Consider the following 22347-nt stretch of genomic DNA (forward strand, 5'->3'; position numbering starts at 1 on the left):
AGACAAGGGAGAAAAAGAAAAAAGTATATATATATATTACAATATAGGAGAGAGAGAGAGAAAGAGTTTAACAAAAACCAAAATGTGGTTCTTTGGAAAATTTAATAAAATAAATTTATTTTGAGTGAGAAAGATAAATTCAAAATGAAATAACATAAATAAGTACAAACACAATACATTAAAATGCTAAAGGGGTATTATTAACAACTGTTAGCAAATTTGTAAACCTAGGTTAAAATATGAACTATCTAAAAAAAAGAAACATCTAAAAAAGTAGAATAGAAACTTGACCAGAACAATGAACATAAAGAAATATAAGTAGTAATAAAAGACTTCCTTCATAAAAAAAGAATAAAAAATAAAAATAAAAAAACCTCAAATCCAGAAGGTTTATAATAAACAAGTTTTACCAAATTTTCAAGAAATCTGTAAGACTTATCTAAATTGCACCAGAAACTAGAGAGACCATGAAAGTCTGCCCATTTCATTTTATAAGGCTATAAATATGATCTCAAAACCAAGCAAGAGCACTTGAAGAAAATCACAAGCCTATTTAACTTGTTATTGTAGATATGAATATCAAAAATAAAATATTAGCTATCTGTATCAATAGTGTATCAAAATAATGCATAGAAACCTAAGGTCTCCAAAATGGTGGTCATGGGTTTTGTGACCAGAGAGGTTGTGGTGGATGTGCTGCTGTATTTTTATCAAGGTTATGAAACCCCTGGTGTACAGTGCTTGTGGAAGAGGACACTCACAGACACTGAACTATTAAGAACTACCTGAGCTACCTGACACCTTGGATTATTCTGCTTTTGAAGACATAGTGAAAAATGGATTTGAAAGACTGACCCCTCGACAGCCAATTGAATTGCTCCGTATGAAATGATCTGAGCTTCCAGCCCCTTCCTCCGGTCAGAAAAACGACATTATTGCATGGCAAGAAAGTGTAAACAATTCTATGGCCCAGCTAGAGCATCAAGCAATTTGAATCGAGAATCTAGACCTAATGTCACAGTGTGGATGTAATGCCTGGAAGGTATATAATGAAAATCTAGTTCATATGATTGAACATGCACAGAAAGAAGTGATTCAGAAGTTAAGAAAACATATTCAAGATTTAAACTAGCAGCAAAAGGACATGCAACTCACAGCTGGAACTAAATCAAGAGAAATCGAATCAAATTGGATATCCCTGATCAGTAAGAATTACAATATTGAACAGACTATTGAACAATTGTTCAACTAGAAAATGAAAACCATCAAATTAAGTAGCAATATGGAGAGGCAAACAAAGAAAACATCCAGCAAGACTTCTGAAAAGACAGTTTTGTGGGTGGAAGAAAAGTTTGGCTTTCACCAAAGCCATCTGAACTTTCTCCAAACTATGAAGGACAACAGCATCTTCCAGAAACCATTGATGTTTAAATGTTTAGAATGTGTGGACTGTTGTAGTAATTCTATTCTATCTTAGCAAAACAAAAATATCTAAGTTGGTGGTATTTTTATAACCATCAACCAAAAATTCTAGACTTTCAAAATAAGTATAACTTTAGCATAATATTATGTCACTGAATTAATTTTGAGCTGTGTAGACCATATTTTGTATCCAAGAATCTTTATTTAAACCTTTCAACATGTACAGGAATTTGGAAACTTTTAGTTTATGTCTTTGTCTAATAAAGAGATACTTCTAAACAGACACACAAAATTCTACATATGTTAATTTTGTAAGGCTCTTAGCAAATAAGAATAAAAAGGAATTCATTAATTCATTTAAAGTTACAAAACAGCAGCTTGGCAGCAATTAGTAGAAAAATACATCTATTTTAGGATAGGAAGGTGGAGGGAATGTCATATTAAAAGAAAAAGAAATAGGATTAAGGGGAAGAGAAAAATATCTATTTATTTACAAACACTGTGATTATCTACATAGAGCAACCAACAGAGTCACCATACATTTTGAGAATTTACTAGAGTTCGACAAGACAGTTGAAACAAGAAGAGACAGACATGCAAACCAATAGTTATAACAAAAGAATGATGCGACAACAGAGGCTTGTACGATGCAGAGGAAGCACAGAGATGAGAACTTTACCTGGAAGTGCAAGGAAAGACTTCTTGGAAGCAGTTCACAAGTTAAATTTCGAAAAATCATGGCACTGTACGTAGATGTGGCTGCTTGCCCGAAGACTAAGAGATATAAAACAGTAGTTCGGAAAGTTTGGAACTGGGAGAGTGGGAAAGGTTGGGCCAGCATGTGAAACTGGAGATGTGGGATAAAGTCTCATCCTGCAGACATTTGTGTGCTAAGCTAAGTTGCTTGGATTTTAAAATGAGTGGAAAGATACTGGAGGGTGTTTGTTGGTGCTAAGATATGGTCCAATTTGGGGTATTGGAAAGATTACTTTGTTAGCAGTACGGAAAATGAGCTGAAAAGGGGTGAGACCAGAGACAAGAAGACATGTAAATTAGGCCATGTGAGCGGTGGCTCACATCTGTAATCCCAGCACTTTGGGAGGCCAAAGTGAGTGGATCAGTTGAGGTTAGGAGTTCAAGACCAGCCTGGCCAATATGGTGAAACCTTGTCTCTACTAAAAATACAAAAATTAGCAGGGCATGGTGACAGGCACCGATAATCCCAGCTACTCTGGAGGCTAAGGAAGGGAGAATTGCTTGAACCCAGGAGGCAGAGGTTACAGTGAGCTGAGATTGTGCCATGGCACTCCAGCCTGGGCAACAGAGCAAGACTCTGTCTCAAAAAAAAAAGAGAAGGCATGTAAGTTATTGCAGTGGTTCAAATAAAAAATGATGATATCATCTGAATTAAGGCTGTATCTGTGGGAATGGAGGAATCTGGAGATGTTTAGAACATAGAAGCAATTGGATTTTAATGAAGAGAGTAAAAAGGAAGGAAGACTCTAATATGGCTCCCAAGTCTGCATTTGAAAACACAGTGACAGTGATGCCATCAGTCTGCCAGGAAAAATAGTCTTCACCAATTACTATCTGGGCCAATGCATTATTCTTAATTTTCTTACATTTTAAGTCATACTAAAAATAATCTACCTCAGGGAGGCTATTCATGTGTCAGGGCAGAGAATATGTGGGATATTTCTGTACCTTCCTCTCAACTTTGCTGTGAACCCAAAATTGCAATAAAGAAATAAAGTATTTAAAAACTAAACAGACAACCTACAGGATGAAATGGTATATTTGTAAACTATGAATCTGACAGGGAGCTGATATCCAGAATTTAGAAGGAACTCAAACAACTCAACAATAGCAACAACAACAACAACAAAAACAAATAGACCCACTAAAAGTGGAAAAGGACATGAATAGATATGTTTCTAAAGAAGACATAGAAATGGCCCACAAGCATATGAAAAAACTGTTCAGCATCACTGATTGTCAGAGAAATACAAATTTAAACCCCAATGAGATGTCATCTTACACCAGTCAGAATGGCTATTATTAAAAAGATAAATAATAACAGATGTTGGTGAGGATGGGGAGAAAAGGGAACACGTGCATTATTGTTGGGAATGTAAACTAGTACAAGCTCTGTGGAAAACAGTATGGAGATTTCTCAAACTAAAAATAGAATGACCATTCAATCCAGCAGTCTCACCACTGGGTGTCTACCCAAAGGAAAAGAAATCATTATATCAAAAAGACACTTGCACTCAGTTGTTTATCACAGCACTATTCACAGTAGGAAATATATGGAATCAACCTGTGTCCATCAACAGAGGACTGGATAAAGAAAATGTGAGATAGATAGATAGATAGATAGATAGATAGATAGATAGATAGATAGATAATGGAATACTATTGAGCCATGAAAAATGGAATCATGTCTTTTGCAGCAACATGGATGGAACTGGAGGCCATTATCTTAAGTGAAACAACTCAGAAACAGAGAGTCCAAAAATGCATGTTCTCATAACTGGGAGCTAAATAATGCATACACATGGACATAGGGTGTGGAATAATAGTCACTGAAGACTCAGACGGGTGGGAAGATGAGAGTTGGATGAGGGTTGAAAATTTACTTAATGGGTACGATGTACATTATTTGGGTGGTGGTTGTGTTGAAGCCCAGACTTCACCACTATATAATATATCCATGTAACAAAATTGCCCTTGTACCCTTTAAATTTATACAAATAATAATAAATAAATAATTAAAAATTTAAAAATGAAAATATTTTAAAAATAATCTACCCAAGGAAGAATCAATAGATAGTGAAAATGACTTTATTACAATTTTTAATAAAAATTTAAATGTAGCACATTCTAATATTTACTTCTCAGTTTTCTGGTTTTGAAGGAGTATGTACCCAGAATAGGCAACATATTTTGAATTCAACTAAACTACACAACAACTGTCATGGGTAAACCTGGAACACGGGCATAATGTAAGTATTGAATCTAGATTTCAGATACATCTCTAATAGTTTTCATTGCTTTAGCAGCTTGCACGTTTTTGGCTCAACGCTCTCTTCACATGATTATCCATTTTGCCACATAGAGCTCTCATTTCATTCGTTTTAATTGCCATATGGTAAAATACATTGTATGATATAATTCACTCATAATAGCTTATTTCGGTTGTTTTCCATTTTTCTCTATTACAATCAATACACCTATAAACATTCTTGTACATGTGTGCTTATATATACTATGCAAAAGTTTCATCTAGACTATATAGCAAGAAGAGGAATCATGAGGTCAGATGGCATGCAAATCTTCATCACTAGATATTGTCAAGCTCCTCTTCAAAGAGGTCGGGCCAATTGCACTCCCACCAGCACACTATGAGAGTTCCACTTTCCTCATTTTCTTGAAACATTAGCTCTTATCAGACTAAATGCCAAGTTGATATTTGAGAAATGCTACCCTGCTGAAGTTTGTGAGTTTTTAAAATTTATTTGACTGCAAACGAGCTGACCATCATTCCACATGACTTCCCACCATTAGGATATTCTTCCCATGAATTGTTTCTTTGCATCCTTTGCCAATTTCTCTGTTAGTTTGTCTTTTTCTTCTTGATTTGCAGTTCTTTGTATATTTTAGATACAAATCTTTGTCAGTCGTGTATGTTTCACATATCTTCTCCCAGTCTGTGGCATGACTATAAAGGGTGTTTTCTGATGTCTATACAGAAAAATTTCCTGTAACATATTCAAATTTATCATCCTTTTCCTTTGTGCTTAGGGTTTTTGTGTCTTGTTGAAAAAAATATTCCCCCATTCTGGTTTCATAAATATGCTATTTTTAAATTTAAAAGTTTTTTCTCATTCAGGGATTTAATCCATCTAGAATTAATTTTTGTGTGCAGAATGAGGCCTAGATCGAATTTTAATTTTTGTGTGGAAAATTATTTATCCTAGCAGAGCACATTTGTTGAATAATCCAGTCCTTCACCACAAATTTCTAATGCTACCTCAGACATAAATTAAATTTTCATGTATATGTGTTGTAAAGGTCCCATCAAAGAAGAGGATTTGATCAGGTGCTTTAAATAGTCTTTAATGAGGGGGACAATTTAGGGAGATAAGGGCAGGGTTAGGAAAACAAACAGTGGTATGGGGGCAACTGGTGACTGCAGGAAGTCCTTTCCACCCTTAGCACTGAAGGGAAAAGGAGGAATTAGCGTTATTGGATCCCACTGAGAGCAGTGTATTGGAGGAGGGCTGCCTAGTGGAGCTGTAACTGCAGAGAAACAGAGCTGCTGCCTTAGAAGCAATCTCGAATCTCCTCCTACCCTCTGATTCTCTGCAGTTGCCATCCATCAGCCAAATCCAAAGTGAAGCCAGAGGTCGGGAAGGTCGGGTTGGCATTCTGTAGATTTCAGCTTCCCGTAGAGCAGGGCTAAGTAGAGGTAAGTAGAGGATAGAGAAAGTGTGTGGGAGTCACCAGCACAGTCAACTTCTTTTGCCACTCAGCATCTATTCTTGCCTTTTAGTGGATTAAAAAAAAAAAGATAAAAAAATAAAGCCCTCATTCTCCACACAGGGGATCCACATAATCCCGTCAATTACAGTATTATCAAGGGATGAGGTTAATTCAATTATACACCCACTTGGAACCTAACTTAAAACATTAGCCTCCACCTGTCCTCTTGACAAAAGGTAATAGGAAAGGGGAGTAAAAGAGAAACCATCAATTTCCATAAGATATCCATGGCTGCTTTTGTCCCTCCTCTGATTATTCTTTTCAATTACCCTGATTACTGTCCCTTTTGTCTCTGATTTCCAAGCAAAAACTGGCAATCACAACTCCCTCTTTCCACCACTCATTTCCTCTTTTATCACTTTGACTACAAAGTGACCCAAAACTTCATTCTTTGGGGATCTGAGCCCTTAGTGGCCCTAATATGTTCCCCACTTTTTTTTATTTCCATAGGTTTTGGGGGAACAGATGGTGTTTGGTTACATGAATACATTCTTCAGTGGTGATTTCTGAGATTTTGATGCACCCATCACCTGAGCAGTATACACTGTACCCAATTTGTAGTCTTTTATCCCTCACCTCCCTCCCACCCTTTCCCCCTGAGTCCCCAAATTCCACTGTATCATTCTTATGCCTTTGCATCCTAATAGTTTAGCCCCCGCTTATAAGTGAAAACATACGATGCTTGGTTTTCCATTCCTGAGTTACTTCTCTTAGAATAATGGCCTCCAATTTTATTCAGGTCACTGTGAATGCCATTATTTCATTCCTTTTTATGGCTGAGTAGTATTCCATGGTATATATATATATACATATATATATATAATCACAATTTCTTTTTTTTCTTTTTTTTTTTTTTGAGACAGAGTTTCACTCTTGTTGCCCAGGCTGGAGTACAATGGCATGATGTTGGCTCACTGCAACCTCCATCTCCCGGGTTCAAGTGATTCTCCTGCCTCAGCCTCCAGAGTAGCTGGGATTACAGGCAACCACCACACCTAGCTAATTTTTTGTATTTTTAGTAGAGACAGGGTTTCACCAGGTTGGCCAGGCTGGTCTTGAACTACTGATCTCAAGTGATCCACCCCCTCAGCCTCCCAAAGTGCTGGGATTACAGGCGTGAGCCACTGCCCCCAGCCCTAATCACAATTTCTTTAACCACTCATTGATTAATGGACATTTGGGTTGGTTCCATATTTTTGCAATTGCGAATTGTGCTGCTATAAACATCTGTGTGCAAGTATCTTTTTTGTGTAATGACTTCTATTCCTCTGAGTAGATAGCCAGTAATGGGATTGCTGGATCAAATGGTAGTTCTACTTTTAGCTCTTTAAAGAATCTCCACCCTCCTTTTCACACTGATTGGACTAGCTTACATTCTCAGCAGCAGTGTAAAAGTGTTCCCCTTTCACCATATCCATGCCAACATCTATTTTTTTTTAATTTTTTGATTATAGCTATTCTTGCAAAAGTAAGGTGGTATTGCATTGTGGTTTTGGTTTGCATTTCCCTGATCATTAGTGATGCTGAGCATTTATTTCATGATTGTTGGCCATTTGTATATCTTCTTTTGAGACTTGTCTATTCATGCCCTTAACCTGCTTTTTGATGAAATTGTTTGTTTTTTTCTTGCTAATGTGTTTGAGTTACTTGTAGATTCTGGATGTTAGTCCTTTGTTGAAAGTACAGATTTTGAAGATTTTCTTCCACTCTGTGAGTTGTCTGTTTACTCTGCTGATTGTTTCTTTTGCTGTGCAGAAGCTTTTTAGTTTAATTAAGTCCCATCTACTTATCTTTGTTTTTGTTACATTTGCTTTTGGGTTCTTAGTCATGAAGTCTTTGCCTAAGCCAATGTCTAGAAGAGTTTTTCCGATGTTATCTTCTAGGATTCTTATGGTTTCAGGTCTTAGATTTAAGTTCCTTGATCCATCTTGAGTTGATTTTTGTATAAGGTGAGAGATGAGGATCAAGTTTCATTTTTATGCATGTGGCTTGCTAATTATCCTAGCACCATTTGTTAAATAGGCTGTCCTTTCCCCACTTCATGTTTTTGTTTGCTTTCTTGAGGATCAGTTGGCTGTAATATTTGGGTTTATTTCTGGGTTCTCTATTCTGTTCCATTGGTTTATGTGCCTATTTAAAAAAAAAGGTATTCATATCATGAGAGTGACACTGTATAAAAAACAGAAAAAATAGCATAAAATAAAAAACCAAGGTATTCAGGCAACAAATAGCATGATGAATAAAATAGTACCTCATATCTCAATACTAACATTGAATGTAAAGGGCCTAAATGCTCCACTTAAAAGATACAGAATGGCAGAATGGATAAGAATTCACCAACCAATGATCTGCTGTCTTCAAGAGACTCACCTGACACATAAGGACTCACATAAACTTAAGGTAAAGGGGTAGAAAAAGATATTCCATGCAAATGGACTCTAAAAGTGAGCAGGAGTAGCTAGACTTACATCAGATGAAACAAACTTTAAGGAAACAGCAGTTAAAAAAGACAAAGTGGGACATTATACAAAGAGGGTAAAAGGACTTGTCCAATAGGAAAATATCACAATCCTAAATATATATGCACCTAACACTGGAGCTCCCAAATTTACAAAACAATTACTACTAGACCTAAGAAAGGAGATAGACAGCAACACAATAATAGTGGGGGACTTTAATACTCCACTGACAACACTAGGCAGGTCATCAAGATAGAAAGTCAACAAAAAAAAATGGATTTAAACTATACCCTAGAACAAATGGACTTAACAGTTATGTACAGAACATTCTACCCAACAACTGCAGAATTTACATTCTATTAATCAGCACATGGAACATTCTCAAAGAGAGATCATATGATGGGCACAAAACAAGTCTTATTAAATTTAAGAAAATTGAAATTATATCAAATATTTTCTCAGATCACAGTCGACTAAAATTGGTAATCAACTCCAAAAAGAACCCCCAAACCATGCAAATACATGGAAATTAAGTAACCTGCTCCTGAATGATTATTGGGTCAACGATGAAATCAAAATAGAAATTAAAAAATTATTTGAACCGAATGATAATAGTAATACAACCTATCAAAACCTCTGGGATACAGCAAAGGCAGTGCTAAGAGTAAAGTTCATAGCCTTAAATGCCTACATCCAAAACTCTGAAAGAGCACGAATAGACAATCTAAGGTCACACCTCAAGGAACTAGAGAAACAAGAACAAACAAAACCCAAACCCAGCAGAAGAAAAGAAATAAAGATCAGAGCAGAACTAAATAAAATTGAAACAAAAATATCCAAAAGGTAAATGAAACAAAAAGCTTGTTCTTTAAAAAGATAAATAAAATTGATAGACCATTAGCAAGACTAGCCAAGAAAAGAAGAGAGAGGGTCCAAATAAGCTCAATTAGAAATTATATGGGAGATATTACTACTGATACCGCAGAAATACAAAAGATAATTCAAGGCTACCATGAATGCCTTTATGTGCATAAATGAGAAAACCTAGAGGAGATGGATAAATTCTTGGAAAGAAGCAACCCTCCTAGATTAAGCCAGGAAGAAATAGAAACTCTGAACAGATGAATAACAAGCAGTGAGATTGAAGCGGTAATTTGTATGGTAATTTTACAAATTACCAACAGCAACAAAAAGTCCAGGACCAGATGGATTCACAGCTGAATTCTATCAGATATTTAAAATGAGAAGAATTGGTACCAATCCTATTGACACTATTCCACAAGTTAGAAAATAGTGCCCTCCTTAAATCATACTACGAAGCCAGTATCACTCATTCTATGAAACCAGTATCACCAAAACCCATAAAGGACAAAACAAAAAAGAAAACTACAGACCAATATCCCTGATGACTATAGATGCAAAAATTCTTAACAAAATACTAGCTAAATGAGTTCAATAGCCTATCAAAAAGATAATCCACCATGATCAATTTGGTTCCATACCAGGGATGCAGGGATGGTTTAAGATCTGCATATCAATAAATGTGATACACCACATAAACAGAATTTAAAACAAAAATCACATGATCATATCAATAGACATAGAAAAATCATTTGACAAAATGAAGCACCCCTTTATGATTAAAACCCTCAGCAAAATTGGCAGAGAAGGGACATACCTTAAGATAACGAAAGGCATCTATGACAAATCCAAAGCCAACATTATACTGAATGGAGAAAAGTTGGAGAATGGGAGACAAGGATGCCCACTCTCACCGCTTCTATTTGACATAGTACTACTGGAAGTCCTAGCCAGAGCAATCAGACAAGAGAAAGAAAGGGCATCCAAATCAGTAAAGAGAAAGTCAAACTATCACTGTTTGCTGGTGATGTGATCATATACCTAAAATACCCTAAGGACTCATCCAAAAAGCTCCTAGAACTGATAAATGAATTCAGCAAAGTTTCAGGATACAAAATTAATGTACACAAATCAGTAGCTCTGCTATACACCAACAGTGACCAAGCTGAGAATAAAATCAAGAACTCAATAGCAGCAAAAAATAAAAATAAAATACTTAGTAGTATGCCATACAATAACTGCAATAAAATAAAATACTTAGGAATATACCTAACCAAGGAGGTGAAAGGTCTCTACAAGGAAGACTACAAAACACTGCTGAAAGAAACCACAAATGACACAAACAATTGGAAATACATCCCATGCTCATGGATGGGTGGAATGAATATTGTGAAAATGATCATACTGCCAAAAGCAATCTACAGATTCAATGTAATTCCCATCAAAATACCACCATCATTCTTCACAGAACTAGAAAAAACAATTCTAAAATTCATATGGAACAAAAAGAGCCCACATAGCCAAAGCAAGACTAAGCAAAAAGAACAAATCTAGAGGCATCACATCACCTGACTTCAAACTACACTATAAAGCCATAGTCACTGAAACAGCATGGTACTGGTATTAAAAATACATTACCACAGTTTTCCATTGAGGGAGATCACCAAACATTGTAATAAGGGGTGTGCTAGTGAATGACCTGAGTTTCAGAGATACTGTTTCTTTTTCATGACATAACAGCAACCCCAGTCCCCTTGGTAAAAGGATCAAGCACCCTGGTAAGAAGAGTAAGCTCTGCTTTCTCTGTCTGAGGATTTAGTGTCATGAGGAACTAAAAAAGTTTAGGAGTAGTCTCAGCTTACATATTATTTGAGCCATCACCATTGGAAAAGTTTCTTCCTTGAGAACTAGGCTTTCTAAACGGTTGAGCCCCAAGTTGCAGAGACAAGAAGCAAAAGTTCTCTAAATGAGTTATTAGGTCCGAAATGAGTCTTCCTCATTTCTGATACCAACTACATTATCAAACAGGATCCCAGCAGAAAAGAGAAATCACACAGATGATTTAAGTGAGGATATTTACAGAGGTCTGAGCAGAGTCAAGGCAATAAATAAAGGATATTGAGGCATCCATGGATTACTTAAACCAGGAAGCTATTAAAAAAAGGGAAAGAACCAAGTACCAGAACCCAATGAGAACTGGAACCATGGAGGAGAAGCTTCCCATTGGAGCTAAAGTTGTAGAGAAATTCAGCTGCAGCCAGAGAAATAGAGCTAGTGGGAAAGAAAGGAGGAAGAAATTCCCTGCCCTTTCTCTCCTCCTGCCCTTTCATCTCCTGCTAGTGTCTCCCATTATCCGTTGTCCAAATGCAATTAGAAAGAGAGCCCAGGTGATGCCTTTCAGGAAACATAGAATATCAAAGAAAGATAGACAAGATGTTGGAGCATGGGATGTCAGAAAAATAACCAAAGAACAGGGATCTGTTTCTGGGTCTTCTATTTTGTTTTACTGGTCTTTTAGTGTATTTGTGGGTCAATATTATGCAGTTACATATGTACATTTTTCTAATGATCTGAAATGTCACTGTTATATTAAATTTTAACATGTGCCCATGTCTGTTTCTAGAGTCTCTATTCTGTATTGTGTATATCTGCACCAATAAACACACCTTTTTCATTATATCTCAACAGAATATTGTGACATCTGATAAGGTGAGTCCTTCCCCTCATTGTTTTTTCATTAATTTTGTTGCTTATTTTGTTTTCAATGTGTTTTTTATTATTTCTATTTCTCTTCAAGATTACACAGTGGATCAACTTCCAAAAATACCATAGCTATTTTTATCAGAATTTATATTGATTTATAGATAAATCACAAAGAAATTTGATATTTTCACATTATTGAATCCTCTCAACTAGGAGCATACTATCCTTTGCATTTCTTAGATCTTCCTGTATTCTTCAATAAAGCATTACAAGTTTCTCAATATAGATCCTATGAGTTTGCACTTAGTTTAACCCTTAGTATCTTCAGTAGCTTGTGGATATTGCAAATGGACTCTATTTCTACTTCATTTACCCTCTAATTCATTCTAACCATTTATTAGTTAATGTTCCTGGGTTTTTAGATTAAGCTACCTTTTCTTCTACAAATGGAGACTACCTCCTTCTTTTATACACACACAGACACATACACACACACATCTTAGTTCTTTTTCTTGCGCTGGAAAGACAAACAGTAAGAGTAAGACCAAGATCCATTCTCAGTTCCTGAGCTTAAAGAAATGTTAGGAATGATGTTTGCTCTATCCGTGGCTATCTTTGCACTGAGAATGTTTCTTCTCTTGCTAGTGGCTTTTTATGAAAAATGAATTGTATTGAGTTCGAATTGAATTATATCACATATATGGTGCTCAGGGTTTTTTTTGTCATCTATCAAGATGATTTATATGGATTTTTAAATTTTCATCTCATGCAAGTTCCCTGAGATCTTGCCTATCTTTTTCACACTTTTTCCCCAATACCTAGAATAGTGCCCTCCTCACTGTAGACATTTTAGAAATATTTCCTGAATAATTATATAAATGTTAATAAAGTATTTATTGATTGTGATTAATTTCATTGATGGAGCTGTAGTGGTGATTCATATTTGCATTCCTAGGATAAATCCTAAATGAATTATTCTTTTGATATATTGCTGGATTTAATTTAGCACTGTGTTAATATATATTTTTTTACATTGGTGGATAAATTGTATGTATTTATCAGGTACAACATGATGTTTTAAAGTACATCTACAGTGTGGAATGACTACCTCTAGCTAATATATATGCAATACCTCACACAGTTATCATTTTTGTGGTGGGAACACTATATCCACTCCTGAGCATTTTCAAGAATTCAATACAAGGCCGGGCATGGGGACTCAGCCCTGTAATCCCAGTACTTTGGGAGGGTGAGGCGAGAGGATTGCTTGAGCCCAGGAGTTTGAAACCAGCCTGGGCAACATAGTGAGATGCCACCTCTACAAAAAGATCAAAAGATTAGCCAGGCGTGGTAGCACATGCCTGTGGACCCAGCTACCCAAATGGCTGAGGTAGGAGGATTTCTCAAGCCCAGGAGGTCAAGGCTGCGCTGAGCCATGATTGCACCCCTGCACTCCAGCCTGGGCAACAGAGCAAGACCCTGTCTCAAAAAAAAAAAAAAAAAAGAATCATTACAGTGCACTATTAACTATAGTCGTGTTGTACAACAGACCTCTTAACTTACTGCTCCTGTTTAACTAAAAATTTATGACCAACATCTCCCCAACCCACCCACCCTCTCCAATCATGCCAGCTCCTGGTAACCACCTTTCTACTCTCTACTTCTATACAATCAACATTTTTAGATTCCACATATGAGTGATATCATAAAGTATGTGTCTTTCTGTGCCTGTCTTATTTCACTTAACATAACGTCTTCCAAGTTCATCCATGTTGTCACAAATGATAGGATTTCTTTCCTTTTAATGGCTGAATAGTATTCCATTGTATATATATACTACATTTTTTTCATTTATTCATCTGTTGATGGACAGTTAAATTGATTTCATATCTTGGCTATTGTGAATAATGCAGCAATAAAAATGTGTTATATATAAAGTTTCGGTGCCGCAAAAGTAATAGCACTCGAATATAAAATTTTCTTTTTAATTCTCAGCAAGGCAAGTTACTTCTATATAGAAGGGTGTGCCCTTAGAGATGGAACAATGGTGAGCGCACACTTGGACAAGGGCAGGGAAGGGGTTCTTATCCCTGACGCACGTGGCCCCTGCTGCTGTGTCATTCCCCTATTGGCTAGGGTTAGACCACACAGGCTAAACTAATTCTGATTGGCTAATTTAAAGAGAATGATGGGGTGAGTGCTTTGGCAGGAGTCAGGGCAGAGCAGATAGCAGGTAATTGGAATGAGTTAGGATGGAGCAGGCGATTGGAATGTAGGGTAGAGAAGGTGATTAGAATGAGTCAGGGTGGAGTAGGTAATTGAAAAAGGTTGCTGGAAACCATCATTCTCAGCAAACTATCGCAAGGACAAAAAACCAAACACCGCATGTTCTCACTCATAGGTGGGAATTGAACAATGAGAACACTTGAACACAGGAAGGGGAACATCACACACCGGGGCCTGTTGTGGGGTGGGGGGAGGGGGGAGGGATAGCATTAGGAGATATACCTAATGTAAATGACGAGTTAATGGGTGCAGCACACCAACATGGCACATGTATACATATGTAACAAACCTGCACGTTGTGCACATGTACCCTAGAACTTAAAGTATAATAAAAAATATATGTATATAAAAAAGAAACTAATCTAAAATAGAAAAAAAATGTTGCTTTACAAAGAAGTTAAGTTTACAAGTAGAAGGCAAAGAATTGAACATACGGATATATTAATTCTTTGAAAAGAAATTTAGAACTCATATCTAACAAATGGAATTACAGATAGCTCTTTGATGTAACGATTTTACTTCCTTTGGAGATACACCAAATAGTGGGATTGCTGGATCATGTGGGAATTCTATTTTTAATTTTTTGGGGAAACTCCATGCTGTTTTCCATAATGGCTTACGCCAATTTAGATTCTCACCAACAATCTTGGCAGTCTTCAATTTACGATTTTTATTTCTGTGTTCATAAGTTAAATTGTTGTGTAGCTTTCTTTTAGAAGCTATGCTTATCTAATTTAGGCACTAAGATTATTCTATCCTTATAAAATAAGGTAAAAACACTTCATCTTTAACATTCTCTGAAAATAAATTATTTTTTTCTTGAAGGACTGATAGAACTCATACACTAAACTCTCCTTTTCTGGTGCTTTTTAAATGAGTATTTGTTTTTCCTTACATTTTCATTTTCTTCTGTCTTCATTAGCTTATTTACATTTATTATTCCTTCTCAAGTCATTCTTACTATATATAGTAGCCCATGAAATCATCCATTGTATAATATTTTTATATTTATTGATATATTATAATTAAAGTATCTCAAATTTTTAAAATATCTTTTATATCTGAGTTTATGTTATATTTTCTCATTTCTGATATTATTTATGCCTTCTCTCCCTTTGTTTCTTAAACTTTTCTAGAGACAGGGTCTCACTATGTCACCCAAGCTGGCCTCAAACTCCTGATCTCAAGCCATCCTCCCACCTTAGCCTCCAGAGTAGCTGGGATTACAGGTGCAAGCCACCACACTTACCACCTTTTATTTCTTGATATAACTTGACAAAGGTTTTTAAATACTTTACTGATTATTTCAAAGAACAAATTTTAGACTAGTATTATTTACCATTTCTATTATGTTTGGCTTCATTTTATATGACAAATATATGGTTTTCCTTTTTTCTACTCTGTTTACTTTGTTTTCCTTTTTTCAGCTTCTTGAGATGAATACTTTGCTTATTCATTTTCAAATTTTATCTCCTAATCAATGCATTTATGTCTATAAAATTTCCTAAGTACACTTTTGGCTGTATCCCATGGGTTTGAAATAAATACAAATCTATTTGCTGGTTTTGTTTCTAAATGGCCTATAATTATAGCTTTAGTTCCCTCTTTAAAAATGTTTGGGTTTTTTTTAAAAAAACTATCTTTTTGTTGTTTATTTCTAATATGATTTGCATTATGGGCAAATATTTTGACCAGTATCATTTCAGCTTTGGATAATTATTTTGTGGATTTTTTAAATCAACTATATGATTAATTTTTGAAAAGTTCTCTGTGTTGTGAAAAGAATGCGTACACCTTCAAGAATTGCATATGTAATAGAGCAATCATGTTGATTGTTATTCAGATATTCTAGGTTCTTGTTTATTCTTTGTTTTCTTGATCTATTAATTTTTAGAGAGGTATCTATTTTTTTCCTATCCTATTTTTCACTTTCTCTCATAAAACATAGGGCAGGGAAAAAATAGCTTCTACTATTGAGTCCCCAGCATGTGGAACAGTGCCTTCAGTATGCAAACTATGTGACTTACATTCAGTGCTTTGCCATCTCAATAGAAAAGCTTTTCAACATTTTCAAGTTCTTTAATTCTTTCCTGTTCCACCATGGGTGGGTTTACCTACACAGGCAAATGAACTAAGACCCAGACAATATTATTCTGTCATAAGAGACTCTTTAAGGTCAGCGACTTTGTCTTATTCACCAATATATACCCCCGAACCTAGAATATTTACTGGAACATAGTAAGTGTCCATGGGATGAATGAATAAATATTTAGCTCACCAGCATGCAGATGGGTCATTTTCAAATGGCAGAGTGTTTAAAACTTGGTTTCATTTTCAAATCATGTGTCCTCTGTTTATCTAGAATCTATTAAACAGTTTTCTTACACAGAGCAAGAAAGCTAACCTTACCAAAGTGGAAATAATGTTCTCTTGTTACCGCCACGTCAATGGAGCTACAGAGAGTTCACCTAAGCTTCCTCATTCTTTAAAATGTTAAAGTATGCAATGCTCTCCAATCCAACTGAGGCTGACTCCTAAGTTCTGTTTTCTACATCAGATAGGAATGCCTGATAGAAAGACAGATTAGGGAACAGCCATTCACTTTAGATGGTATTAACTATTGGTCCAGGTCACAGCTAAATTGGCTTGGCTTAGGCTGTTGGTGCATATTTAATGTGGAGATGAGTTAAATGAAGAGATTGGTCTGTCCTCTTGACCCCCTTCTCTATTCAATTCTTGTCTTCTCATCAACACCTAAAATTTGGAAGATGCTTTAATCCAAGAGCATACAAAAAGGAGCATCCATTTTTTTTCACCTATGTTCTCCAGAAGCTGAAGCCTGCTTTTTTTGTGCACATTCCTGAACTGACCCTGCTGGATCCAGAACTAGCTTGTCCCAGGCCACATGGATATGCATTAGGAGAGCTCCTTAACTAGATAGCTCCTTAACACTTAAAGACTTTTCAGATAAAATTGGTAGCAACATTAACAAATGTAACTTTTGATACATTACATATATGTGTAATGGAACACATGAGTTATAATGCATTAGTTACACAAACATGCAGGAGTAAAAGATCCATTTTAAACGTAAGACCGATCAATATATTTCAGTATTTCACTCCAAACTCTTACAGTGTTATTTCACTCCAAACTCTTACAGTGTTCCAGGCCATATAAAGCTTTTTACAGGCCAATGGATTTGCGTGACTTGTCAAGAAGGAATTTAGGACCCTGTATGGAGATACAGCCAAAAGTGTAGCACCTTACTCAAAACTACAAAGAGAATTGACTTTTAACCTATTATGGTGCCCTCATGCTGTTGCAGATTGAGTTCCCTGAGAAGTAGACCCTAAGGGCTTTGTTGTGCAGGATTTTTACCAAGCAGAGACCTTGAAATTAACACATGAGGAGGGAGGGGAAGGAGATAGGAAAGGGCAAAGGGAGAAGTCAAGCACTGATGCAGGCCAATTGACAGCTCAGCTGACCCCACCAGGAGCTCAGGAGTTGGAATGAACTCTAGGAGTTGCCCTGAGTTACACAAAAATGGCCATGTCTTTATACACCTGCATCCATCAACCACTAGATGCAGGTCACTCTGGGAAAAAATGCGACCTTTGGTGAGGTGGCTCTCTGCAGCTGAGACAATCCTTGAAGGGACTAATAGCTGAAAGCTGCCAGTGAGCAACACTCCCAGCAACTAGGGCAATATGTTCTTCCTCAAAGGGGAGATCACAGCACATCTCAGTGTTCTCACACATTAGTGATCTAGACTTGAGATTCGCATCTCTCTATTTGGAAGATAGAACAGCAGCAATCCAACTTTTTGGTCTCAAGATCCCTCTCCACTCTTAGAAACTATTGAGGACTCCAAGCAATATTTAGATAGATTATATTTACCTTTAAAAAAATTAAGGCCGAGCACAGTAGCTCACACCTGTAATTCCAGCGCTTTGAGAGGCCGAGGTAGGTGGATCACTTGAGGTCAGGAGTTCGAGACTAGGCTGGCCAACATGGCGAAACCCCATCTCTACTAAAAATACAAAAATTAGCCAGGCATGGTGATGGGCACCTGTAGTCCCAGCTACTTGGGAAGCTGAGAAAGGAGAATCGCTTGGACCCGGAAGGCGGAGGTTGCAGTGAGCCAAGATTGTACCAATGCACTCCAACCTGGGTGACAGAGCGAGACTCTGTCTAAAAAAGAAATTAAGAACATATTTAAATATTTATTAACTTATTTTAAAATAACAATAAAAATCTATTATCTACTGGAAAAAAACTATATTTTCAAAAACAAGAAAATTAATGATAATATTGAAATTGTTTTTACATTTTTTTTGTCTATCTCTTTTTGTCTGACTTGGTGGAAGACTCCTGGATACTTTACTTCTGCATTTAATCTATTTCAATAATTATTTTTAGTTGAAGTATGTGAAGAAAATATGTCCTCACACAGACATGTAGCTGAAAAAGGAAAATGCATTTTCATAGACTTTCAGGCAGAGCACAGTGGCTCGTGCCTGTAATCCCACCACTTTGGGAGGCCAAGGTGGGAGGATCACTTAAGCCCAGGAATTCAAGATCAGCCTAGGCAACATAGGGAGACCCCCGTCTCTACAAAGAATTTAAAAATTAGCCTGGCATGGTGGTGCGTTCCTGTAGTCCCAGCTACTTGGGAGGCTGAGGTGGGAGGGTCACCTGAGCCTGGGAGGTCAAGATGCAGTGAACAGATATTGTGTCACTGCACTCCAGCCTGGGCAACAGAATGAGACCTTGTCTCAAAAAATAAAATAAAAGCCTTTCAGTTAATTAAGAACACTCTTCTTCAATATGCCCCAAAACTCAACAAGAGGTAGTTTCTTTTATTTTTATTTATTTATTTTTATTTATTTATTTATTTGTTTGTTTATTTATTTTGAGACTGAGTCTCACTCTGTCGCCAGGCTGGAGTGCAGTGGCACGATCTCGGCTCACTGCAACCTCCGCCTCTCGGGTTCAAGTGATTCTCCTGCCTCAGCCTCCCAAGTAGCTGGGACTACAGGCACATACCACCATGCCCAGCTAATTTTTGGATTTTTAGTAGAGACAGGGTTTCACCATGTTAGGGCCAGGATGGTCCCGATCTCTTGACCTCATGATCCGACCACCTCAGCCTCCCAAAGTGCTGGGATTATAGGCGAGCCACCACACCCAGCAGAGGTAGTTTCTTAAAAGCTAGTTGTAATGTGGAAACTGAAATCATACCAATGAACTTTACAACTTTGATCACTACTCTGTTACAGTGAAATATATGGATTGGTCTTACATTTCAAATGGATCTTTTACTCCTGCATGTTTGTGTAACTAATGCATTATAACGCATGTGTTCCATTACACAAATATGTAATGTATCAAAAAATTACATTTGCTAATGTCGCTACCAATTTTATCTGAAAAGTCTTTAAGTGTTAAGGAGCTGTCTAGTTTATGGTGGCATATACAAGTTTTCCAAAATTCTAAGTTTTGCTTGAAAGCCTGAATTTTATCATTGCAAACAAAAATTGTCAGTTGTTTTCCTTAAAGGGACATGTTCATTTTGTTTACTTTTAAGAAATATCTGCTAAATATCCAAGTCTGAGTAACTCTGGTGTATCTGTTAGTTATCCTTTCAAGTACAAATGGAAATTCATGGAAAGGGAGCTAATTCAGCTCACAAGGCAAACCATCCCACCAGTTCTTTTCCCTGAAATGTCCATGGTACTTTGTTATGCCAGCAGTGTTTTTTGAATACTTCCCACTTCAACAGTAGAATACTAAAGAGGTATACTTAGAACGGATACTTAGTAATATTTGTAATTTCTACTGCTTCATCAAAGACATCCTGTGAGTGACTGACAGTGAAAAACACAATGACCACCGCCAGAGCAGGCACCACTGCCTTTCTTGGTGTTGCAACACCACCACTTTGTCCCAGCATGGCTTTTGCACAGTCAGTGCAAACATCAACACAGTGCAAAAGACAAATAATGTCTTACTATGGTTATGTCAATAATTTTGACTACGGGACTTCAGAGAAGATCTCAGTGAACCCCCAGCAATTCAGACCATGCTTTGATAACAGCTGAGAGAGAGTATCCAAAACCCAACACAAGAAGGCTATTTGTGAAAAAATCATTATGATAAACTGGGCACCTAGATTAAGAGTCCAGTGGTTCTGTATTTCTTTGCTGCTGTCCCTGAAAAATGGGTTAAAATTATGTGAATAAATGTCCAGGGTAATACATTGTTTTTCTTCTCTCAAAAAGAGGATGCCTTTGGGGGTTTCCCCTAGAAAGTTCTAGAGTGTTTGAGACCCTCTTCTAGAAGCACAGGATGATGTCCAGTGCCGTGAGATCTCAGCAGAAAATAATGGAAATGCTGCCATTTGTGCTAAGTTATTAGACCTACAGAAATCCTTAGAACCTGAGACTCAACATAATTGAAATCTGAGGGGAAAAGAGGAGAAGGCAAAGAGTTTTACCAGCTATTTTGGTCTTTAGCAAAATAATGTTAGGCCTTTGCTCTCTAAATCTAAATATGGTAGTCTGGGGTCTAACAACCTCAAAAAAAATTTTCATTAATGTGTTATAAGAAGGAATTTATAGCTGCTATAATGAAATAGAAAGCAGCCAGAAATAAATTCCTTTAATAAAGGAAATTGAGTATGCTGTATATATCCCTAGATATTCCATTTAAAATATGTCACCATCTTAATCTAGTTACCTAGTAGTAAGGCAATTACATGATAAAGATTTAGAGTTGATGTAAATTTAGGGTTCAATTGTGATCTTGGATGCTTTTAACAAAATACTTCTTGTGGGAAAGCAAGCCCCTTGGCAATCTTTGCATTGTTGTGTTCAATTAAGTGACAATTTATTCTGGTTTTGTTTTTAATGGGACTCATCTTTTACTGTCATTACTAGTCCACCAGCAAGAACACTTCAGTGTTCTATTTTTCTCTTTAGAACAGAATCTGAAACATTGGAGTTTGCTTTTCTATTAAAGAAAAAGCTTGTGACTTATGGAAAGCCAGCTCCATCTAGCTTTCCTTCTTATTCCATGTCTCTGTCTATGTTCCATCAACATAAAATAATGGGTATAAGCTATTATCAAAGTACAGTTTCTTCTAAAATGGATCCTTGCCAAATGGACAGATTGGTGGCCTCATGTATAAATGTTCTTTTAAAGATATTCATACATATCCATTTGTTTCTATCATATTTTTCTCCATTTTGTCTTCCAAGAAAATAAATGGAGTTGGTTATTCTGAGGAAAAACTAAGATCTGCGTTATATTAAAACTACCTCACACAAACACACACTTCACTTCCTTTATTACATTTGAAATCTAGGTCTAACATTTTATGAAGGTTAAAAGGCAACCAGATTAACTGTTCAAATAATATTACACTTGAGGTTGTTTATTATGTGCATATAAGTTTTTATCAAAATATGCTAAAACAGTTTTCCTGAGACTTCTGAAGGAATAGTCTTCAGTCTTCCTTGTTGAAATCAATCTAAAAATATTTAGCATTGTGTAAATCTCGTAATAGCCACATGCATCTTTATTAGGTCATGCCAATATTAAAGAGATTAACAAGAAAAAAATTCAGTCCTTGTAGCATGTATTTCCTACGTTGTTACTATTAAATTATTCTGAAATTTGGAAAATTAATAAATAAACCCTGTAGTGAATCTACGCTCTTGGGTGAGGTTAAGAATTTACATGTCACCACAATTTTATCACTAAAGAGATGAGCTAACATCTTTATTAATTCACTTAAAACCATTATTTCACTTCAAAGAGATCTACATACATTTCAAAATATGTTGCTTTAACACATTTTCAGTACATTTTCATCAATATTTTATTTTGCTATCACCCAGCCTTACCCCTCATCACAAATAATAAAGCAGGGTAGCCAGGCAGTTTAACACAGCTTGAATTCAGCAACCGCCTTCCACTACTATCTTAATTCAAATACCAAAATACACTCCAAGGGACAAAAGAAGTTATCTGCAGTCAGAAAACATGACTCTGTAAATCGCTCAGA

At 36.3% G+C, this 22347-nt stretch overlaps 1 pseudogene; it reads left to right on the plus strand.

The window, feature by feature from the left end:
• Positions 634–1617, plus strand: BCAS2P3 (BCAS2 pseudogene 3; annotated as a pseudogene).

The sequence above is a fragment of the Homo sapiens genome, chromosome 13, assembly GCF_000001405.40.
Source record: "Homo sapiens chromosome 13, GRCh38.p14 Primary Assembly".
Classification (NCBI taxonomy): domain Eukaryota; kingdom Metazoa; phylum Chordata; class Mammalia; order Primates; family Hominidae; genus Homo; species Homo sapiens.